The 20,101-nt window shown below is 40.2% G+C and overlaps 1 long non-coding RNA gene across 1 annotated transcript; it reads right to left on the reverse strand.

Moving 5' to 3' along the window:
• Positions 1-19,956, reverse strand: LINC01349 (long intergenic non-protein coding RNA 1349). The gene is made up of 5 exons (NR_038914.1): positions 19,855-19,956; positions 18,122-18,187; positions 13,441-13,724; positions 1,777-1,894; positions 1-254 (listed from the first exon to the last, which is right to left on the reverse strand). It is a non-coding gene; the product is annotated as a long intergenic non-protein coding RNA 1349 (long non-coding RNA).
• Between the last annotated feature and the right edge of the window lie 145 nt (positions 19,957-20,101).

Below are 20,101 nucleotides of genomic sequence, written 5' to 3' on the forward strand. Positions count from 1 at the left end.
TTTACAATGGAGAAAACTGAGTATTGATTTATTGAACACTTATTTAATAAAGGTTTATGAAGAACCCATCCTGCACCAGGGGCCCAGGTACCAACTTAAAGAATGTGAGTGAGAAAAACAGGGAACTCAGTCCTGGCATTGACCTTTGCTGTAACTTCTGCTCATTGTAGGAATCAGCCAACTTCCTGTCCTTTAGTTTCCTCTTCTGCAAACTGAAGATTAGTTAGTTGTAGAGCATACAGTCAGTGTTATGTCTGAAAATATTGAAATACAGAGACAAAGTGAAAAAGAAGGGTATGAAACCCCTTTCCATTAGACTGTAAGAGGGATGATGATTGTTACTTTTGGGAGTTATGAGCGTGGGCAGTGGAGAGAGTGGTTTGTTTGAGGATGCCACGCTGAGCATTGGGTGGATGTGGAATTTGTGTGGGCAGGGAAGTAGAGAAGAGAGTTGGGGCAAGCTAAGACTGCCAGCTTCCAGACTGGAAGCTTCTGCGGTAGTTACGGGGAATGAGTCAGGAAATAGTTCTGTGTAAATAGTTATGAAATTTTAAAGCTAATTTTGTCATGGGCCAAAGGCATTTTTTGGGGATGATGAGAGATATCAAATTTTGTGGATGCGCCTACAAGTAGGTGATGGTTCTACACTGAAAGATTTGCCACTTTTCTTCACCCTAGAATGTTCATATTGTGCGTGTGTGTGTGTGTGTGTGTGTGTGTGTGTGTGTGTGTGTATGGTTTCTTAGTGGACTGTGAGATATATTAAACATAGATAAAAGGAATATTTAACTAAAAGAGAAGCAACAGAAAGTTAATCAAATAGTATCCAAGACAGGACGGAAATGGGCTTTAGGGGAGTCCTGAGAGAAAGAGAACTCACATTCATTGAGTTCGTGTGAATTGTTTCTGGGCCCCGGGCACTGTCATATCCATGAAATAACCTTATTCTTGTCTTGAAAAGCTGTTCTCATACAGATCTGAAAACTAAGGCCCAGAGACAGTAAGCAGCTTCTGGGAATGACTATGTTGTTGAGCTCAGGTTTGAGCTATGGAGGGTATGAAGTTATTTCCTCTTAGCAACTCCATCACAGACTCAACATGCTGGGCAAACTCACTTTATCTTTAAAGAACAGTCTCTATTTGCAAAGGAGAGAACCTGCTTCCATACACTTGGGACTGTTAGAGTTGTCAGACGATGTTACCAAAGCAAAGGCACTTGAACTTAGGCCAAGGTATATGTTTCTGTAGTCACCCTGTGGTAACTACTGGGGTCAGCATTTCACAAAACCTACTTACCCTGTTTAGTTAGGAAAACCCTAGAGGTGGGGGAGTGGGAGTGAGGGTCCCCAGTCCCACTGTCATTTGGAAAAATGTCCAGATGAGAGTAGGCTGTCCACTTCCTAGAGGCAAATCTTTCTGAATCTACATAGTTTCACAGACTCACAGAACTTCAGAGCTGAAGAGACCTTCAGATAGATATTTTTCAGATAGACCTTCAGATAGACATTTTGCCGCACTGCTCAGTCTAGGTTAACGGGAAGCTAGGGCAAGAATTCACTTATGGCCCTCCCTTCTTCCTGTATTCAGTATTTTCCTGTCTGTAACATTGGGTCCATGATTAAGCTATTTAACCAGTTTCTGAATTTGTAATTTATGAAGCCAGGAAAAGGGCATTTATCACTTGAATCATCCCAGCAGCCTGTGTCAGAGTTAAGGAGGGAATTATTTTTTTTTCTAAAAATTCTGTTCTAGGCTATTTAAGGTCACTCTACTTGCCTCTTCTGGAGAGACTCGTACATGCGTTGCTGATCCCTGGGCTGAGTTCTCCCAGCCCTAGTGAACTCGGAAGTACAGGTCCAGAAGGTTCTGCTTGATGGTTCCCATCAGGGTAAAACTGAAAATAGGAAGCCGTTGGTTGCTGATTGTAAGATAAATTTGTTTAAGTAGTGTGCCAAAAGCAGTGGGTCATATGAAAAGCCACATGACCAACCAGAAATAATTGGAGCTTAAAAGATGCTAGGGTCTATGAGTAAGATTTCTTTCACCATGGGATTTAGGTAAGGCAAACTCACCCACTCACTAGTTCTTAATTCCCATTTTCTTTTTGTCCTGGAACATTTCACCTGCCCTGATGCGGCAAATTAAGTGATTGAATTAATACAGAAATGTCAGCCTTTATTGATGACAATTAGGTGTTCATATTATTTCTGTTTTATTAATAATTTATTTACCTATTCAACAAATCTTTAAAGCCTACTGTGTGCTAGATGTGGAGGAAGAAACAAGTAACACTTCCTCCGTGACAGTTTTTCTAATCCCTCTAGTGTAAATTCTCTCTCCCTTTCCTGAAACTTAGTAGTTCTTTGTTTATAGTTCTCCAATAGATTTATGCCATGTTGCCTTGTATTGTAGCAGCTTGAGAACATGTCTTACTATTTAGAACTAAGACAATTGCTTTACAAGTATTTGTCTGTACCATGATATTTAAAGTAGTGCTGGCACAGAGTATGTTGTCAGTGTTGTGGAATAAATGACTAAATGAATATTTGTTGAATTAGGTAAGAAGTTGCTTCAGCTTTGGCTGTTATGCTGCTGTAACAAACAGCTCCCAAATTTCAATAGCTCAGAACACAATGATTTATTTCTCATCTATGTTAATGCCCATAGTGAGTTAGGTGCAGCTCTGCTCCCCATCTTCTGGATTTGGGGATCTGGGTAGAAATAGCCATTAGTTGGGATTTTCTTGTGTTGGGGAACAAGAGAGATGGCAGAAACACATGATAGATCAGAAGTGGCATTCATTGGCTGGGCACGGTGGCTCACGCCTGTAATCCCAGCACTTTGGGAGGCATAGGCAGGTGGATCACCTGAGCTCAGGAGCCCAAGATCAGCCTGGCCAACAATGGTGAAACCCCATCTCTACTAAAAATACAAAAATTAGCCAAGCACGGTGGCAGGCACCTGTATCTCAGCTACTTGGAAGGCTGAGGCAAGAGAATTGCTTGAACCCGGGAGGTGGAGGTTGCAGTGAGCTAAGATTGCGCTACCACCCTCCACCTGAGCAGCAGAGCGAGACTCTGTCAAAAAACAAACAAACAAACAAACAACATCACTTCTGCTCAAATTTCGTTGGCCCAAACTAGTCATGTAGCCACGCCTGCCGTGGAGGGCAGACAAGGATAATTCTCCCATGAGAAAGGCCATGAATCTTTGGGAATAATAATATAATTTACCAGAGAAGTCATCCTTATTTTTTAAAGAACTTAAAATTTAGTTGAGGAAGTAAGCTATACACAAAGAAATACAATAAAAAAAAGGTGCAAGCAACATGTTATAGAGGTGAGGGAGGAGAGATTTCTTTGGACTAAGATTAGTCACAGAAGGATTAATAAAAGATGTGTTCTTTAAATTGGACATGAAAAGTAAGATTTTGCCAAGTGGAACTGGACAAGAGGTGAATAGAAGAGTATTTAAAAAGATATGAAGGTACTCAAACAAAAAATGTACTAAAAAAAAGAGTGAAAAGTCCACTTTTGGTGGATAATTAGGTCCACATTTCAAAGTTGGGAATTTAGAGTCTATTAAGCAGGAAATTATAAACCACTAGAGATTTGGAAAGCTAACTAAAGGATGCAATGGAGAGAAGCTGAAAATATTTTTGAGGCTATGCAAAGAGTTCAGGAAACAGGGACTAAAGACAGAATCAGAATAGTGAAAAGTATGAACAGGACAGAACATACAGAGGCAAGATGCAAAGGAAATGTACAAAGGTTGAAAACCGATTGGTTTGGAAAGCAAAGGAGAGAGGCAGTGAAAGAAGTTGCAGATGATTATTCCATTAATGGTGGTGCCATTAATGGAATTCAAAAAATAAGAAGAGGACTGACTCATAGGAAGAGAAAATAAGTTTTGTTTGAGGTATTCTGATTTCGAGGAATTTCAGAGAGAAATGTTTAGTAGGCGTATGGAACTCTGGGAATAGAGTTTGTGGGATTGTGGTTGTGATTGAAGATGTAGTCCTGAGGGACCCCTGAAGAGGTGACAGTTGAAGCCATGAGTGCAGATGAGAATCCCAAAGGAAACTAGTGGCCAAAAGGCAGAGTCTTGGAGGGCTGCCAACATGTAGGATGTGGGAAGATGAAGACAAACCAGGGAGGGAAGCTGAAGAACCTTGACAAGGCAGAGAGGAGAACACTATAGTGTGGGATCAAGTGAGCTGAGGCAGGAGAGAGGCTGAGGAGCAGGGAGAGGTCAGCGGTGTCAAATGCTTTAGAAAGTGCTAAGAAGATGAGAATGTAGGAAGTGGTATTGAGGTTAGAGTAGGAGATCATTGGCGATGAGTAAGGAAACAACTTCAGTGAGGACTGGAGATGTTCTTGTGAGATATCTGATAACAAAAATTACAGAGATTGCATAATGGAGGATTAGTTGGAACTGGTGGAACTGAGAGTACGCTTAGTGCGATAACCTTTGAAAAGAAGAGGAACCTATTCCATTTGGGGAAGGCAGGAGAAAACTATGCACTAAGAGAGAACTTGTCCATGAGAAGGAGTGATTTTTAAGGTGCTTCTTAACAAAGTAGAGTTTAGGGAATGTATTCACTCTTTGAAATTAAAAAGCAATTGCTTATTATTGAAAACCCAGGTTAGCTATTAAAAAAAAAAAAAGAGAAAAATAAGACAAAAAAAGAAAAAAAAACCATGCATGTGTAACAAGTCAGGGGAAGCTGAGGAGACCTTCCAAACTGTACTGTATTCACTTGCATATATTCCACATCTGGCACTGGGCAGTCAAATATTCACAGGTAATAAATAGATATTAAAGAATGTATTATTGGGCATTAGGACTCATAATTTTAGAAAAATGTTTTTTGTGGCTGGGCGTGGTGGCTCACTCCTGTAATCCCAGCACTTTGGGAGGCCAAGGAGAGTGGATCAGAAGGTCAGGAGATCGACAGCATCCTGGCCAACATGGTGAAACCCCGTCTCTACTAAATATACAAAAATTAGCCGGGCGTGGTGGCGCGTGCCTGTAGTCTCAGCTACGAGGGAGGCTGAGGCAGGAGAATCTCTTGAACCCGGGAGTTGGAGGTTGCAGTGAGCCGAGATCGTGCTACTGCACTTTAGACTGGCAACAGTGGGAGACTCCATCTCAAAAAAAAAAAAAAAAAGAAAAAGAAAGAGAAAAAAATTTTTTTAAAATTATTATTATACTTAAAGTTTTAGGGTACATGTGCATAATGTGCAGGTTAGTTACATATGTATACATGTGCCATGCTGGTGCGCTGCACCCATTAACTCGTCGTCTAGCATTAGGTATATCTCCTAATGCTATCACTCCCCCCTCCCCCCACCCCACAACAGTCCCCAGAGTGTGATGTTCCCCTTCCTGTGTCCATGTGTTCTCATTGTTCAATTCCCACCTATGAGTGAGAATATGCAGTGTTTGGTTTTTTGTTCTTGCGATAGTTTACTGAGAATGATGATTTCCAGTTTCATCCATGTCCCTACAAAGGACATGAACTCATCCTTTTTTATGGCTGCATAGTATTCCATGGTGTATATGTGCCACATTTTCTTAATCCAGTCTATCATTGTTGGACATTTGGGTTGGTTCCAAGTCTTTGCTATTGTGAATAGTGCCTCAATAAACATACGTGTGCATGTGTCTTTATAGCAGCATGATTTATAGTCCTTTGGGTATATACCCAGTAATGGGATGGCTGGGTCAAATGGTATTTCTAGTTCTAGATCCCTGAGGAATCGCCACACTGACTTCCACAATGGTTGAACTAGTTTACAGTTCCACCAACAGTGTAAAAGTGTTCCTATTTCTCCACATCCTCTCCAGCACCTGTTGTTTCCTGACTTTTTAATGATCACCATTCTAACTGGTGTGAGATGGTATCTCATTGTGGTTTTGATTTGCATTTCTCTGATGGCCAGTGATGGTGAGCATTTTTTCATGTGTCTTTTGGCTGCATAAATGTCTTCTTCTGAGAAGTGTCTATTCATATCCTTTGCCCACTTTTTGATGGGGTTCTTGTTTGTTTCTTGTAAATTTGTTTGAGTTCATTGTAGATTCTGGATATTAACCCTTTGTCAGATGAGTAGCAAAAATTTTCTCCCATTTTGTAGGTTGCCTGTTCACTCTGATGGTAGTTTCTTTTGCTGTGCAGAAGCTCTTTAGTTTAATTAGATCCCATTTGTCAATTTTGGCTTTTGTTGCCATTGCTTTTGGTGTTTTAGTCATGAAGTCCTTGCCCATGCCTGTGTCCTGAATGGTAATGCCTAGGTTTTCTTCTAGGGTTTTTATGGTTTTAGGTCTAACATGTAAGTCTTTAATCCATCTTGAATTGATTTTTGTATAAGGTGTAAGGAAGGGATCCAGTTTCAGCTTTCTCCATATGGCTAGCCAGTTTTCCCAGCACCATTTATTAAATAGGGAATCCTTTCCCCATTGCTTGTTTTTGTCAGGTGTGTAAAAGATCAGATGGTTGTAGATACGCGGTGTTATTTCTGAGGGCTCTATTCTATTCCACTGATCTATATCTCTGTTTTGGTACCAGTACCATGTTGTTTTGGTTACTGTAGCCTTGTAGCATAGTTTGAAGTCAGGTAGTGTGATCCCTCCAGCTTTGTTCTTTTGGCTTAGGATTGACTTGGCGATGTGGGCTCTTTTTTGGGTCCATATGAACTTTAAAGTAGTTTTTTCCAATTCTGTGAAGAAAGTCATTGGTAGCTTGATGGGGATGGCATTGAATCTGTAAATTACCTTGGGCAGTATGGCCATTTTCATGATATTGATTCTTCCTACCCATGAGCATGAAATGTTCTTCCATCTGTTTGTATCCTCTTTTATTTCATTGAGCAGTGGTTTGTAGTTCTCCTTGAAGAGGTCCTTCACATCCCTTGTAAGTTGGATTCCTAAGTATTTTATTCTCTTTGAAGCAATTGTGAATGGGAGTTCGCTCATCATTTGGCTCTCTGTTTGTTTGTTATTGGTGTATAAGAATGCTTGTGATTTTTGTACATTGATTTTGTATCCTGAGACTTTGCTGAAGTTGCTTATCAGCTTAAGGAGATTTTGGGCTGAGACAATGGGGTTTTCTAGATATACAATCATGTCGTCTGCAAACAGGGACAATTTGACTTCCTCTTTTCCTAATTGAATACCCTTATTTCCTTCTCCTGACTAATTGCCCTAGCCAGAACTTCCAACACTATGTTGAATAGGAGTGGTGAGAGAGGGCATCCCTGTCTTGTGCCAGTTTTCAAAGGGAATGCTTCCAGTTTTTGCCCATTCAGTATGATATTGGCTGTGGGTTTGTCAGAGATAGCTCTTATTATTTTGAGATACGTCCCATCAATACCTAATTTATTGAGAGTTTTTAGCATGAAGAGTTGTTGAATTTTGTCAAAGGCCTTTTCTGCATCTATTGAGATAATCATGTGGTTTTTGTCTTTGGTTCTGTTTATATGCTGGATTACATTTATTGATTTGCATATATTGAACCAGCCTTGCATCCCAGGGATGAAGCCCACTTGATCATGGTGGATAAGCTTTTTGATGTGCTGCTGGATTCAGTTTGCCAGTATTTTATTGAGGATTTTTGCATCAATGTTCGTCAAGGATATTGGTCTAAAATTCTCTTTTTTCGTTGTGTTTCTGCCCGGCTTTGGTATCAGGATGATGCTGGCCTCATAAAATGAGTTAGGGAGGATTCCCTCTTTTTCTATTGATTGGAATAGTTTCAGAAGGAATGGTACCAGCTCCTCCTTGTACCTCTGGTAGAATTCGGCTGTGAATCCATCTGGTCCTGGACTCTTTTTGGTAGGTAAGCTATTGATTATTGCCAGAATTTCAGATCCTGTTATTGGTCTATTCAGAGATTCAACTTCTTCCTGGTTTAGTCTTGGGAGAGTGTATGTGTCAAGGAATTTATCCATTTCTTCTAGATTTTCTAGTTTATTTGCGTAGAGGTGTTTGTAGTATTCTCTTGATGGTAGTTTGTATTTCTGTGGGATTGGTGGTGATATCCCCTTTATCATTTTTTATTGTGTCTATTTGATTATTCTCTCTTTTTTTTCTTTATTAGTCTTGCTAGTGGTCTATCAATTTTGTTGATCCTTTCAAAAAACCAGCTCCTGGATTCATTAATTTTTTGAGGGGTTTTTTGTGTCTCTATTTCCTTCAGTTCTGCTCAATTTTAGTTATTTCTTGCCTTCTGCTAGCTTTTGAATGTGTTTGCTCTTGCTTTTCTGGTTCTTTTAATTGTGATGTTAGGGTGTCAATTTTGGAAATTTCCTGCTTTCTCTTGTGGGCATTTAGTGCTATAAATTTCCCTCTACACACTGCTTTGAATGTGTCCCAGAGATTCTGGTATGTTGTGTTTTTGTTGTCATTGGTTTCAAAGAACATCTTTATTTCTGCCTTCATTTTGTTATGTACCCAGTAGTCATTGAGGAGCAGGTTGCTCAGTTTCCATGTAGTTGAGCGTTTTTGAGTGAGTTTCTTAATCCTGAGTTCTAGTTTGATTGCAGTGTGGTCTGAGAGACAGTTTGTTATAATTTCTGTTCTTTTACATTTGCTGAGGAGAGCTATACTTCCAACTATGTGGTCAATTTTGGAATAGGTGTGGTGCAGTATTGAAAAAAAAGTATATTCTGTTGATTTGGGGTGGAGAGTTCTGTAGATGTCTATTAGGTCCACTTGGTGCAGAGCTGAGTTCAATTCCTGGGTATCCTTATTAACTTTCTGTCTCATTGATCTGTTTAATGTTGACAGTGGGGTGTTAAAGTCTCCCATTATTATTGTGTGGGAGTCTAAGTCTCTTTGTAGGTCACTCAGGACTTGCTTTATGAATCTGGATGCTCCTGTATTGGGTGCATATATATTTAGGATAGTTAGTACTTCTTGTTGAATTGATCCGTGTACCATTATGTAATGGCCTTCTTTGTCTCTTTTGATCTTAGTTGGTTTAAAGTCTGTTTAATCAGAGACTAGGATTGCAACCCCTGCCTTTTTTTGTTTTCCATTTGCTTGGTTGATCTTCCTCCATCCTTTTATTTTGAACCTATGTGTGTCTCTGCACATGAGATGGGTTTCCTGAATACAGCACACTGATGAGTCTTGACTCTTTATCCAATCTGCCAGTCTGTGTCTTTTAATTGGAGCATTTAGTCCATTTACATTTAAAGTTAATATTGTTATGTGTGAATTATATCCTGTTATTATGATGATAGCTGGTTATTTTGCTCGTTGATGCAGTTTCTTCCTAGTCTTGATGGTCATTACATTTTGGCATGATTTTGCAGTGGCTGGTACCGGTTGTTCCTTTCCATGTTTAGTGCTTCCTTCAGGAGCTCTTTTAGGGCAGGCCTGGTGGTGACAAAATCTCTCAGCATTTGCTTGTCTGTAAAGGATTTTATTTCTCCTTCACTTATGAAGCTTAGTTTGGCTGGAGATGAAATTCTGGGTTGAAAATTCTTTCTTTAAGAATGTTGAATATTGGCCCCCACTCTCTTCTGGCTTGCAGAGTTTTTGCCGAGAGATCTGCTGTTAGTCTGATGGGCTTCCCTTTGTGCGTAACCCGACCTTTCTCTCTGGCTGCCCTTAATATTTTTTCCTTCATTTCAACTTTGATGAATCTGACAATTATGTGTCTTGGAGTTGCTTTTCTCGAGGAGTATCTTTGTGGCGTTCTCTGTATTTCCTGAATCTGAATGTTGGCCTGCCTTGCTAGACTGGGGAAGTTCTCCTGGATAATATCCTGCAGAGTGTTTTCCAACTTGGTTCCATTCTCCCCGTCACTTTCAGGTACACCAATCAGACGTAGATTTGATCTTTTCACATAGTCCCATATTTCTTGGAGGCTTTGTTCATTTCTTTGTATTCTTTTTTCTCTAAACTTCCCTTCTCGCTTCATTTCATTCATTTCATCTTCCATCACTGATACCCTTTCTTCCAGTTGATCACATCAGCTCCTGAGGCTTCTGCATTCTTCACGTAGTTCTCGAGCCTTGGCTTTCAGCTCCATCAGCTCCTTTAAGCACTTTTCTATATTGGTTATTCTAGTTATACATTTGTCTAATTTTTTTTCAAAGTTTTCAACTTCTTTGCCTTTGGTTTGAATTTCCTCCTGTAGCTCAGAGTAATTTGATCATCTGAAGCCTTCTTCTCTCAACTCGTCAAAGTCATTCTCCATCCAGCTTTGTTCCGTTGCTGGTGAGGAACTGTGTTCCTTTGGAGGAGGAGAGGCACTTTGCTTTTTAGAGTTTCCAGTTTTTCTGCTCTGTTTTTTCCCCATCTTTGTGGTTTTATCTACTTTTGGTCTTTGATGATGGTGATGTACAGATGGGTTTTTGGTGTGGATGTCCTTTCTGTGTTAGTTTTCCTTCTAACAGACAAGACCCTCAGCTGCAGGTCTGTTGGAGTTTGCTAGAGGTCCACTCCAGAGCCTGTTTGCCTGTGTAATAGCAGCAGTGTCTGCAGAACCGCGGATTTTCGTGAACTGCGAATGCTGTTGTCTGATCGTTCCTCTGGAAGTTTTGTCTCAGAGGAGTACCCGGCCGTGTGAGGTGTCAGTCTGCCCCTACTGGGGGGTGCCTCCCAGTTAGGCTTCTCTGGGGTCAGGGGTCAGGGACCCACTTGAGGAGGCAGTCTGCCTGTTCTCAGATCTCCAGCTGGGTGCTGGGATTACCACTGCTCTCTTCAAAGCTGTCAGACAGGGACATTTAAGTCTGCAGAGGTTACTGCTGTTTTTTGTTTGTCTGTGCCCTGCCCCCAGAGGTGGAGCCTACAGAGGCAGGCAGGCCTCCTTGAGCCGTGGTGGGCTCCACCTAGTTCGAGCTTCCTGGCTGCTTTGTTTACCTAAGCAAGCCTGGGCAATGGCGGGCGCCCCACCCCCATCCTCGCTGCAGTCTTGCAGTTTGATCTCAGACTGCTGTGCTAGCAATCAGTGAGACTCTGTGGGCGTAGGACCCTCTGTGGCAGGTGCGGGATATAATCTCCTGGTGCGCCGTTTTTTAAGCCCGTTGGAAAAGCGCAGTATTCGGGTGGGAGTGACCCGATTTTCCAGGTGCCGTCTGTCACCCCTTTCGTTGACCAGGAAAGGGAACTCCCTGACCCCTTGCGCTTCCCGAGTGAGGCAATGCCTCACCCTGCTTCAGCTCCCGCACAGTGCACTGCACCCACTGTCCTGCACCCACTGTCTGGAACTCCCTAGTGAGATGAACCTGGTACCTCAGATGGAAATGCAGAAATCACCCGTCTTCTGCATTGCTCTTGCTGGGAGCTGTAGACCGGAGCTGTTCCTATTCGGCCATCTTGGCTCCTCCCTCCAGATTATCAGAAAAATATTTCTGTGACCTGGAGGTTGTTAATCAAAGTGTCACTTTAGTGAGAGGAGGGCAGTTTAGGCCTTTTTTGGGGTGTAGTCAAGACCTTTTCTTTCCATCAGATTGAGGTTGCTGGAGTCTCTTCAAAGTGACTAGGATATGTGCAACCCACAGAACTCTGTGGGGAAATAAGAACCAACCATAGCATAATTATGTTATGTTAGGTTGCTGTCTGTGACATGAGGAGAGTGTCCTTGGGCAGGAAGAACTGGTGAACTTAGCAAAAAGGTGATGTTTACTGATATTTATTCATTTATTTCTTCACTAATCATTCACATTCATTCAACATTCTGCATATTCACTGAGCACATGCCAGCTACTATTCTAAGCACTGGAGAAGATGAGCCTCTCCACTCAAGGAGATCACATTGAAATGAACAAGTAAGAATGGAAGGTCATATAGTGATGAGTGCTATAAAGAAAAAAGAAAGCAGGTTAAAGGAATCAAGACCAAATGGGGGGTGGGGCAGACTTCTCTTTCATATAGAATGGCCTTGAAAGGTCTCTGATGAAAAAAACACTAAACAGAGGTCTGAATGATCTGGAGGAAGCAGGGCCCAGACAGAGAGCACAGCCAATGCTAAGTCTATTCATTACCAAGGAAGGAATGAACTTGACACATTTTACGAAGTGCAAGAAGGTCAGTGTGGTGGAATAAAAGGAGCAAATGGAGAGATATGGAGGTAGATATGAACTCAGAAAGAGAGGCCAGATCATCTGAGACCTTGAAGGCTTTTATTTTCACTGTGGTGGAAACTCCTTGGGTGGGTTTTGAGCAAGAGAAGAACATGCTAGGGATTATGTTTTTAGAAGATCACTCTGACTACTACATGGAAATAGACTATAATTGGACAGGACCTGAGGCAGGGAGACCAGTTAGGAAGCTGGTGCAGTAATCCAGGCAAGAGAAGAACAGAAGTTTGAATGAGGATGCAGCAATGGTGATGAGGAGAGGTGGAAAGATTCTAGATATATTTAAAAGTTTTTAATAACAGTTTTACTGAGATATAATTTACATAGAATAACATTTTATTTAATTGCATTCTTTAAAAATACACAATTAAGTGGCTTTAGGAATATGACAGGACTCCATGATGAGGTAGATACAAAGTGTGAGAGGAAGAGAGAGGCATCAAGGATGTCACTTGGATTATGGATTAAGAAACTGAGTGGCATTTGCTGAGCCGTAGAGCACTGGGGAGAAGAAAAGCAACTATATCACTTGACTAGGAGATGACCTGTAAGCACACAGGAGGATGTCTAGTGTGTTGTAAATGTAAAATATATTTTTGGCTATTCTTTTCCCCACATTACACATCCTCTCTATTTTTAAACACAATAAGTAAGTCAAAGGTACAGTTATTGAAATCAGGATATAGAGTCAGAGAGGTTAATGTTTGGATTTGATTTGATGTTCAGAAACCATGCTATGGATTGAGGAAGCTTTCTATTTCTTCTTCCTTGGTGCTGACTCTCTCTCAGTTATGGCCAAAGATAAATTTCTCCTGTAAGCCATATAGCAAATTATCTTGCAAGATATTTTCTCTAGGAAGCCAGAGAACAGATTATCACATTGAATATTTTTAGAGGGCCATAGAATGATCTCTGTTAGTGTCCTCTTACGGAAGAAGAATAAGAGTATATACCAGATGGTGATCCTTCTTGCCCAATAAATCATTGATATGTAAAATTTGGTGATCTCCATTGGGATTCCCCACCATTAATTCCACAAGCCTGATGTTATGTGCCAATTGCTTTTCTGAATTGTGTGTATTTGTATAGTAAACTTACAAACAAACTTTAAGATTTATATATAAAGACACACACACATATATAAGACTCAGGCTTAACAGTAATATTTCACATTCATTACTAAAGTTACAGATAAAACAACTGGAGAAAAGCCAAGTAAGTTGAATATGGACAGGGAAATCTGGAGACAATATTTACTAACGGGAAGTACTTGGTCTGGATTCTTGCCTTATTCTGAACCTTGGGACTCATTTGTCTGAGTTATCTGCTGCTGTGTAACTGACCATACCTTAGTGGCTTGAGGCAACGCTTCATTAGTATTATCCCTCTTAGTTTTGCAGGGTAAATGAACTCATCTGGGCAGTCCTCATTTGGGGTCTCTCGTGCTGTTGTGGTCATATAGCTGCTGAGGCTGGAGCCATGTGAAGTCTCAACAGGGCTGAGTATCCGCAATGGCTTCTTCATCACATCTGACAACACGCTTCTTCACATGGTCTTTCTTCCAAGAAAAGGAGCCTGGACTTCTGACATTGCAGCAGGAACTTCCTATACTCACAAACGCAAGGCCTGGAACTGACACAATGCAACATTCACCATATTCTATTGGTTGAAGTGGTCAGAGGTCAGCCTAGATTCACAGTTGGTGAGGAATAAAATCCATCTCCAGATGGGGGTGTGGCATGCATATAGAAGGAGGGAAGGAATTAATCACAGTCATTTGAAAGATGAGCTACATTTAATAAGCAGGTAACCATTCTCATCTCGCACAGAAATTACCGTGCCTTTTACGAAAATCTATTTTTTAAACATGAATCCTCTGATCACTTTTTAGGATGGTTATTGTCAAAAAGAAAGAAAGAAACAACAGAAAATAACAACTGTTCACGAGGACGTGGAGTAATTGGAACCTTTGTTGTGCATGGTTGGTGGGAACGTTCAACAGACAGTCACTGTGGGAAACACTACAGTGGCTCTCAAAAAAATTAAAAATTGCCATATGATTCAACAATTCTACTACTGAGTATATGCCCAAAAGAATTGAATGCAGAGTTTCAAAGAGATATTTGTATACCTGTGTTCATAGCAGCATTACTCAATTATGCATAATTGTTAAAACGTGAAAGCAACTCAAGTGTCCATTGATGGATGAATAATATGCAAAATGTGGTATATAAATATGGAATATTATTCAGCCCTAAAAAGGAAGAAGAATCTAACAAGTGTTATAACATGGATGAGCTGTGAAGATATTATGCTAAGTGAAATAAGCAAGGCACAAAAAGACTCATACTGTATGATTTCACTTATACGACTACTTAGAGTAGCCAAATTCATAGAGACAGAAAGTAGAATGGTAATTGCCAGGGGTTTGGTGGATGAATGGGGAGTTACTGTTTAGCAGGTATAGAGTTTTACTTGGGGAAGATGAAAAGAGTTATGAATATGGATCTTGGTGATGGTTGTACTCACTATGAATGTATTTAACAACTGAACTGGACACTTAAAAATGGTTAAGATGGTGAATTTTGTGCTATGTGTGTCTTATTTCATCTTTTGAGTAAATCAGTAAATAAATATAAACTAAATATCTGATAACTGGCATTATATTAAGTCCATTCTATATTATAAAATCAGAGGCTTATAATTGTTTTGCATCTTACAAAACGTATCCAACATCAGAAAAAGATGTTGACATATAGATCCTTACTTCATAGATGTTAGCAAATCATTAGATGCTGTTCTTCCAAAAATAGATAAGCAGATCTGGATTCTCCTGTAACTTTTTGTTGGTTTTCAGGATGAGCTATTTGAATACTATTTGATTTTATTTTTAAGCCTAGATCTATATGCTAATGGAAAGAATAATTGCAACATCATTCTGCTGATAACTTTTGGTCAACGTGACCCATTTCAATTAACTGCACAGAAGTGTAGTAGGTAGGTATGGACAATCCTATGAGCCCTAATCAATCATGTCCTATGTATCGGACACAGAGTGAGGTTACACAAGAGTGGAAGCCAAATAAGGTGGTACAAGTCCAGAACTGACTGGGAGTTGAGGTGATATTTGGGAGGGATCAGCAAAAAAGTTGGCAGGTATAAAATCAGGAGCTATCCAAGCCTATTGCTAGGAGTTTCTTGAAAAGTGGGAAGGTCAGGCAGCCCAAGCAGGACATAAGAACTGATCAGTAACCCAGGAGAAACCCTATCCAGAGAACAGCAAATAAACAGCAGTATGAAAGCAGATAAACACATTATTAATAAGTGGCTTTAGGCCGGGTGCAGTGGCTCACGCCTGTAATCCCAGCACTTTGGGAGGCCGAGGCGGGCAGATCACGAGGTCAGGAGATCGAGACCAGCCTGGCTAACACGGTGAAACCTCATCTCTACTAAAAATACAAAAAAATTAGCCGGGTGTGGTGGTGGGAGCCTGTAGTCCCAGCTACTTGGGAGACTGAGCAGGAGAATGGCGTGAACTGGGGAGGCGGAGCTTGCAGTGAGCCAAGATTGCGCCACTGCACTCCAGCCTGGGCGACAGAGCGAGACTCCATCTCAAAAAAAAAAAAAAAAAAAAAGTCTTTAAATACTTAATGAGCCAGAGCTATGCAAGGCCAAAGTGTGCAGAAAGTAACAATTGAGAAAATACATTAATGAGATGAGCCAATAATTATTCAAGACAGGAAAGTCTTTAAACTTAACTGCTCAGCTCCTTCTAGTCATCCCTAAAGAAAGCTCCAGCTTGGACAAGGATCTGTCAAATTCATAACACCCATGGGTTAAGGAATTCCCCATTCTTGGTAGGAAAAGTTATATCACTACTCTCCTGTGGTCATAAATATTCAGTTAACCCATGTAATGTGCCTGCAGAGTGTTTGGCATGTGGCATTCTCAGTGAACATTAGTTCCTTCCTTTCTAGTTTCAAGGTATGCAAAAGGCCATTTAGCAAGAAGCGACTCCTGACCCCATCTCGTGAAGGTGGAGCTGACCTGGCTTTGTCATCAACATGTTGATGACTCTCTACTCATTTGGGTCCCTCGTGTAGCCACATGCTACTAATTAATTTGAAGAAAATTAATAGTCATCACTGTTTTCTAAAGTGTGTATGTAAATTCCAACTTAGGAACAAAGTTGATAGTCACTGAAGAGTAGTTGCCTACATAGTGTATAAAATAGTCTGCTCTGATCCAAGTTCCTTTGAAACAAAGTTAAATTGGTGCAACAGAAGTTAAGTTCATCAGAAAGGAAAAGATTAGAGGGCTACACTAGTCACTATGATAAGGACTTGATAGAGTTTTGCAGAAAAAGTTTGATTGACTCATTTGTAAGAATTCTAAATAAAGATATATAAATGAAGGTAAAATGACCTCAGAATGAACAATGTCATGAGAATCCAAGCTGTTACATCCGGTATTAGCAGAAACTTTCAGCAGCACACCCTAGTATGAAGGGCCGATAACAAATACTGTAATTCAAGTGAGGAACAGCCTTACTTTCCAGAACTGCCCAGTTAATCAAAAAGTCTGGAACTATTCCCGGGATTTTTTTTTTAAATCTAGAAAAAAAACCTCAAGATAACCCTTGTAAAATTGATCTAACATCAATGGGATGTGAGAAGGTAGTTATAGGTTTGCATTATCAAAGGGGTTTTACAAAAAATAAAGTGATTTGCAAAACGAGACTAAGGTAGAAAAGGTAAACACATATCATTTGTGTGTGGTGATTGGAGGAGAGTTGGGGAGGGCAGGGGAGCATTCAAGGGAATGAAGAAACAGTTTTACAATGTGGAGGAAGTTGGTCAGACTTCAGCTTCCCCAGAGGATAAGCAAAATTTAATTATTAACTTGTTCTTGGCACCAGATTTATTCCCCACAGAAAAACTTTAAATCAAACCTAGAAATAACTCTAAGAGAGAAGAGGAGACATTTTATTTGAACATGTGTGCTGTAGATGAAATGGTAAGTGGAAATCTGTTTATTCTCACTGATTATTTCCATGTGGAAGTTGCAAATCCTACAGTGGCCAATGGAAAAGGTAAAGTTAGATGAGAGCATCATTTATTCCTTGGTGAAAAAGTATCCCTCAGTAATTACAAGGGATCCATAGGCAGCTTTGTGTTGTAGCACGAGTCTTGAAGTTGACTCTAATTAAAGCCCTCTCATCTTTCCAAGAATTCTTAATGACCATAATCTTTGGTACTTTAGCATTGATGTAGTTCAAGTGCCCTCTGACCTTATTCACTCACTCCTTGAGATTTTACCTAGAAACATTTCTGTTCAACTTGACCAACTTCAGCTATAACTACTCTCTCAGAATATCAAGTATACAATAGACACCAGTAGAAAATAATTTTCCTTCCTCCCACCACTACTTTAAAAATAATTAGCTATAGATAAAGATTCCGAACATCGCCTCCTCTATAATCCATAAATTCCACTTTTGGGTATATACCCAGGAGAAATATGTCATCCTCAAACATGTATAGGAATGTTCACAGTTGCTTTATTCATAATAACCAAAGACTAAAATCCATCTGAATATTCATCAAAAACAGTAGAATATTTCAAAACAGTGAAAAAGAGCAAGCTATTGCTATGTGCAACAAGAAGATAAATCTCACAGACATAATGTTGAGTGAAAAGAAGCTAGACACAAAAGAATACCACTATGAATCCATTTATATGAAGTTCAAGGATAATTAAAATTAATCTATGGTGATAGAAGAATAGTGGCTATCTTCGGAGGATACTAACTCAGGGTGGTCATCAGGAAGCCTTCTGGGAGGCTAGAAATACTCACTGTTTTATCTGTGTGGTAGTTCTATGGGTGTATTTACATGTAAAGAGTGATTAAGCTGTGCACTTAAGATTTGAGCACTTTACTGAATGTATATTATATCTCAAATTTTTAAAACAAGAAGAAAAAATCCTGTTCAGAAGTTTATATTTGGAGATTCAAAATTTAAGCTTACGCCCAAGATGCCGGCTCTTCATTGGTAATACATTAGTGATTTGATGATGCTGCAGCCAATAATTCCCTGCAAATATAGTTTTTGGCACACAATTTTAGAAAAATGAGCATAACAGGAAATTGTAATCAAAATAACTTTTCCATACTTATTGGTATCAATAGTAATAATATAAGCTACTGTTCATTATACATATGATATACAGTATACAATATGGTTTCATTTACTTTCAACAAATATTTTTGTCTTTTCTTATAGTCCTGAGTTAAAGAATCTTCTTCAAGTACAGTAACCTGAACAAAGCAAACAGCCCATTATGAGATTGTCATAAAAAAATTTATTTCAGTCTGGATGTTCCAAGTGCATTACCAAGGGAGATTAAAGAAAAGGGGGAATAAGCCTTTCTACTATAATGGTTTTACTTCAATTTTTAAAAAATAGAATGCTTTCCCATTATTGCTTCTTTGCTTCTGGTAACCAGTCTTCAGGAGTAATTAGTTTGATAATTAGTTCGAGATGTCATTTAAAAAGAAGCAATTTTTAATGGACTAACTTGAAAACAATCTTTTATCTTATGCTGGATGATTTTTCTTAATGAATTAAATAAACAATTTCTATGCTTACAGAAAGTAAACAGACCCATTCCCAAAAGTATAAACTCTCTTGCCATCTAGGGAGTTTCAGATCTGTTTAGGGAACTAAGATAGTGAAACAATAGCACTGAGGAGGCTATTGATAGACGATGTGTCACTGGGGTGTTGTAGACATTAATCATGAATGCTGAAGAAATTCAAGAGGTAAAGTCTGTTGGGGGCAATTTCATTTTCAAATGAATATAATTTCGTTGGGGGACATTCTTCATGGGATAAAACTCGACTTCTTTAAAGCTGTACCCTATTAATCCACAGTGCAACCCAAAGACTGGAAAAGCAAAGTGAAAGGCCTCTGGTTCATAACCCTTGTCCCTGATTTAGTTTCAAAACCATTTCTGCTGTTCGGAATTATGAGAAAACGTCAATTGAGTCTCAGCAGTAGTCATGGAGAAATCACAACTTAACCCAAAACACTGAAAAAGAGCTTCAGTGTCTTATGGAGCCTCAAGAAGCCAAAGCTTTTAGAAGTCCCAGCCCCTAAGGCTTGATGGGGGTGGATGGAAGTCATCAAGGGAGATCTGTCTAACAGCTATTTAGAGTGTACTCTTGATTGCTGTTTCCTGAAAAAGGAGTCTTGTACCAGCTACTTGCGGAAATTAGTGGGTAAATTTATGAACATTAATATGATGTTGGGAAAAAAGCTGTGAATGTTATAATGTAAAATTGGGGTGGGGAGGGGTCCAGGATGGCTGAGTAGAAGCAGCTGTGGTGTGTGGCTCTCAAGGAGAGGAATGAAAGGGCCAAGTGAATACAGCACCTTCTATTGAAATATCCAGGTTCTCGCATTGGTACTGATGAGGAAAACAACTCAACTTACTGAGAAGAAAGAAAAGCAGGGTGGGATGATGGCCCACCTGGGAGTGACATAGAGTCGAGGGAATCCCTACTCCTAGCTGAGAGAAGCAGTGAGTAAATGTGTGACCCTGGGGAACCACGCTCCTCCCACAGATCTTTGCAACCCTCCAATCACAATCCCTTCGTGAGTCCACACCACCAGGGCCTTGGGTCCAACACACAGAACTGTGTGAAATTTTAGCAGAGTAGCTGCTCAGGCGCACACAGAAACCCAGGAGCTTTACATACTTTGGCTCAGGATCTTCAGCAAGACGGGAGGTCCGTACATACCCCTAGGAAGGGGGCTGAATCCAGGGGGCTGAGAAGCATTGGTCTGTGGGCCCCATTTCCATGGTACCTCACAAGATAAGAGGCTGGAATTCCACTGGCTTGGAATTCCAGCTAGCCACCGGCAACAGGGTGGAGCCTGCCTGAGACAGAATGGAGGCCTGGTGGGTAGAGGTAGGCCACCATCTCTGCTGTTTGGTAGACTCAG

This window comes from Homo sapiens, chromosome 1 (genome assembly GCF_000001405.40).
Source record: "Homo sapiens chromosome 1, GRCh38.p14 Primary Assembly".
Taxonomy (NCBI): Eukaryota; Metazoa; Chordata; class Mammalia; order Primates; family Hominidae; genus Homo; species Homo sapiens.